Source organism: Homo sapiens, chromosome 6 (assembly GCF_000001405.40).
Source record: "Homo sapiens chromosome 6, GRCh38.p14 Primary Assembly".
Classification (NCBI taxonomy): Eukaryota; Metazoa; Chordata; class Mammalia; order Primates; family Hominidae; genus Homo; species Homo sapiens.
The window spans coordinates 149,422,970-149,427,649 of NC_000006.12; the positions used below are offsets into that span (position 1 = coordinate 149,422,970).

General features: G+C 51.0%; 1 annotated feature.

Moving 5' to 3' along the window:
- Positions 2,320-2,819: an enhancer, noted in NCBI's record as "H3K4me1 hESC enhancer chr6:149746425-149746924 (GRCh37/hg19 assembly coordinates)". NCBI's record gives its function as "activates a minimal SCP1, AML or CMV promoter by ChIP-STARR-seq in primed H9 embryonic stem cells {active_cell/tissue: H9 hESC(primed)}" and the evidence as "EXISTENCE:reporter gene assay evidence [ECO:0000049][PMID:30033119]".

The following is a 4,680-nucleotide window of genomic DNA, read 5'->3' on the forward strand; positions in this document are numbered from 1 at the left end:
CCAAGGAGGGAGGATCGCTTGAGGCCAGGAGTTTGAGACCAGCGTGGGCAGCACCCCATCTGTACCAAAAAAAAAAAAAAATTTAATCAGCCAGGTGTGGTGACGCACCTGTCATCCCAGCTGCTCAGGAGGCTGAACGTGGGACGATCCCTTGAGCCTGGGAGTTTGAGGCTGCAGTGAGCCATGATCATGCCACTGCACTCCAGCCTGAGTGATAGACTGAGACCCTGTCTCAATAACAAACAAAAAATAAATGCAAGGGAACGTTACTTAAAAACTATACACCTAAAACCGTAATGCTTTCCTGGCTTCTGCTTTTTGTGATATGATAAAGACACTCATTAGTCAAGGGATGTTGCTAAATGCTAAAAAAAAAAAAATCAGCTTTTCAGGCCCTCGGTACTGATTTTGTCTGTGATGTTGCCGCTGTTGTTGAGGTGGGGTGGAAAGGGAAATGGGAAGTAACAGCTTTGGGCCACGACTCCCCGAAGGCCAGTGGCTTCTGCTCCAGATACTGCACTAGCAGCGTCTCGCAATTTTGGTACCTCAGCCGCATCTGATGATTTCTTTTTTCTTTTTTTTAGGTTGGATAGATTCCTAAATCTGATCATCTGATCTCTCTCTCTCTCTCTCTCTCTCTCTCTCTCTCTCTCTCTCTCTCTCTCTCCCATCTTTAACAGGGAAGGGAGAGTGGAGGGCATCTCAAAAAGATCATTCCTCTCCACGTTAACTGCTGTGTTGGGAGGGAAGCCGTGCATCTGGTTTCTTTATTTGGGCTCCACTTTCTTGCTTTCTAAGCACATCACGAGGCTGTCCTTCGGTCAGCTGATCACTGTGGCATGGCCCTTAACTGCTGAATAAACAGAATGGAAGTCAAGCAAAAGAAAAGCACAAATACAGACAGAGGCATAATTACAAGGGAACATTTTCAGTTGAAAACATTGCTCACCGGGAAAAACTTTACAGAGAAAAGTTTAAGCTATTTTCAGCATTCCCTTCAGAAATATTTTCTTACAGGGCTGCTACTTCCATAGTTCAGAAGAAACTATTAGAGCAGAGGATTAAGGTTTCAATTAATTCCAAAAGACAGCACAAGCGAGGTCCAGCCAACTTCAAAGCGCCTGATTATTGATCATAGGACATGAGCGCCAAGCAGAGGAAGAAACAGCTTCACTGCGGGGGCTTCTGGGCTGCAGGAAGCAGTCGGGGTCCAAGCCCTCCTGCTGTCCTCTCCCAACTCTGTCTCAGAAGAGGCTGTTTGAAAACCAGAGTGAAGCCATCACCTTTGCTGCATGAGAATGAAGTTCTGCCTACAACAGGCACTTCCCCACCACCTCCATTTGCTGCGTTAGGGCATTTACACTTACGTGTGCCCATCTACAAAGCAGACATGGAAAAAATACACATCAACTACCACCATGTAAGTGCAAACTTCCACCTGTGCTGGGGAAACCAGGAGTGCCCAGGGCATTTTATACCTGCGGTTCTCAGAGGCCAGACTTCAAATCATCCCCAATCCAGAACTGATTTTTTTTCAGTGATTTGTAGCAAAACAAAAAAAAACAATATACTGAATTCTCACAAAGCTAAATTGGTTTTCTTTTCTTTTCTTTTCTTTTTCGAGGTGGAGTTTCACTTTTGTCACCCAGGCTGGAGTGCAGTGGCACAATCTCAGCTCACTGCAACCTCTGCCTCCCGGGTTCAAGCGATTCTCCTGCCTCAGCCTCCTGAGTAGCTGGGATTACAGGTATGTGCCACCACACCAAGCTAATTTTTTTTTTTTAGTAGAGACAGGGTTTTGCCATGTTGGCCAGGCTGGTCTCGAACTCCTGATCTCAGGTAATCCTCCCACCTCAGCCTCCCAAAGTACTGGGATTGCAGGCATGAGCCACCGCGCCCGGCCAGCTAAATTGCTTTTTAAGGCTGCCTTTTATTTGAACATTTTCAAATTTTGTTACAGACCCACACCCCTTGAGAAATGGGCCGGCAATGGATCTTTTACATCTGAAAAACAGCTCAGTTGCAGCAGCCACCGAGGCCTTTTTAGAGGCACAGAGAGAACGGGTACATGGGGAGTGGGAGAAGGAAAGACCAGACAGACAGATCCCTGGGCTGCTGTGCCAGGCTGAGAAAGGGCTGTGGGAGCCCTCTAGCCACAGCTGTCTGTCAGAGGAGGCCAGCATCTTCGTGGGTGACCTGCATCAGCACCCACTGTGCTGGTTCGTGGCTGGAAGCAGCCTGCAGGAATTCTGGGCACAGACATGGCGCTGTGTGCCCTACCCACAGGCACGGACACCCTCACTGTCCAGCAGCAGAGATTGAGTACAGAAGGGGCTTCTATGGGCGCAGTTTGCCCAGCTTAGCAGTCGCAGGGGGTGGTGCATAAGTAGACTGGACTGAATGGAGTCGTGGGTGGCTGTCCTCGCAGAGCCATCCCACCAAGAGGCTTGGCATTGGTGCTGGCGGGCTGGGAAGTCAGAGGCAGGAGCAGCTCAGTTGGCCTTGGTGAGTGAGGGTTCATGCTGGGCATAGATGTCACCTCCATCGTTGCCCCCAGGGCCACACCATCCTTCATGCCAGTTCCAGGGGGTCAGTAGCATAGTGTGACAAGTGTCAAGTGGCCAAGGCATTTTGCCAGCTTGGCTGTTCTGTGCTTTCCATGCTGGACGCTTTCTGATAGGCATATTCGTGCCCACTCCCATGTGCCCATGACATGCCCCTACCCAACACCTCCTCGTCTTCCATCTGCCAGGCCATTTATTTCCGACCCCTGACCAGACAGCCAGGCCATCTGCCCAGGGATCCATATATAGTCTCGCCTTGAGCCACTTCTCTTTCCACTCAAAGTGGATGGCCAGGGACACTGCTCATTGATCCACCCAGAGAGAAGGTTTTCCCTCCACTGATACTCACGGCCACCCCATGTCACTGGAATGTAGTCACCATGCATTTTCAGCTTGCACCCCCATGCTGAGCTGACCCACCCTTAAACCAAGTTTGGGCTCTGTCCCCCTCCTTAACTGGTTGTATAGGACCCTCCTGACGGCCATAAGTGTGAGCTGAGGAAGGGATGCTGGGAGTGACAGGGGGTCGGGGCCCCCGCTCATGCAGCCTTATGCCATCTGATTCTGCTGAGCCTGATCCTGCCTGTACCATGCCCACCCTGAAATGGACTGATGGTGGGGCCATGCAACTTTACGACTTGTGAATCTGGCAGAACCCAGCTCATAGTAGACACTTCTGGATGCCTGGCCACTTGGTACCCTGTGATCAGCGTCCCGTAACATGCCAGGAGCTACTTTTCAAAAGCAGGCTAATTCTTGGCTGTGGATAGCACTGCCTTCTCCAAAGTTCCGAGATCTGTGCTGGGATTCTCCCACTGAGCTTGCTGTAAGCTCTACCCAGCATCTCTTTCTACCACCTGCACCTTCAGCACCATGAGGTTGGCTGGGCCTTACAGTCCAAGCAGCAGGGCTGCTTAGTGGGAGCCTGGACCTGCGAGGGAGCCGCCTTCTGCTCCTAAGCCCACATGAAGCAGACAGCTTTTCATGTCACCTGGTACGTGCGCTGCAGAAGTGTTCCTAGGTGTGGAATGTGTTGCCTCCAGAACCCAAAGAGGCCTACCAGGCACTTTGTTTTCTTCTGTGTGATCGTTGGTGCAAGATACAGCAATTTGTCTTTAAATTTGGGGAGCAGATATGTGGGCATGCCCCTGACCGCTGGACCTCCGAACAGCTCGCTGAAGTGGCAAGTCCTTGAATCTCCACGGGATTTGCCTCCCACCTGCTTGTGGGCCTGCGTCTTACCTGGGCTTTGCTCACCTGCCACCTTTAGCTCTTCCTACCTGATGGGCACGCATGAAGTCATCAGTGCACTGGGCCCTACGCTGTTCTGTGGGAAGGCCAGGCAGTTCAGACCGCGCTGGCTTAGATTATGAGGGAGGGCAGGAGAATTAACATAGCCCTGAGGTAAACTGTAAATGAATGTTGTTGTCCATCCACGTGAATGCAAACTTTCTGATCCTCTCTTCCAGTTAGAATAGGAAAGGATACATTTGCCAACTCAAAGGCTACATACCATGTCCCTCAGGCCTTCTTATTTTGCTTTAACAATCCAGTACCTGACGCTGCCGTTGACATCAGAGCTTTTATTGGGTTGAGCCTGCAGTAGTCCATGCTGTCTCTCCGGGATCTGTCCAGTTTCCACAGGGGCCAGGCCGGTCAGTGAAATGGAGGGAGATAGGATGGGACCACCACCTCTTCACCCTTTACGTCTTTCCTGGGGTTACTAATCTCCACCATTTCTCCTGAGGTGCAATGGTGTTTCTGATGTATGTTTTTGGCAGGGGATGGGGGTTGGGGAGAGTGGGGATAGAGAGTCCCACAGGCCGAGGACCCCAGGTAGTGGCGACACCAGCTGCCAAATACATCAATTCCAATTGCACATTCACAGAAGTGTCACAGGTCCTGTCCCACACTGCCCTGCACAGTGTGGGACAGGACCTGCAGAAATGGTCACAGGTGGGACCGCGGACTCAGTGGACTACTGAGAGCCAAACTGTAGCCGGGATTCCATCTACTATCCCAACCCCAGTAAGTCATCTCTCCAACAATAGGGTCGCAGAAATACTCGGGGCCATGCGTGTCAGTGTCAGTGCAGACCCTGTGTCCACCAGTCCTC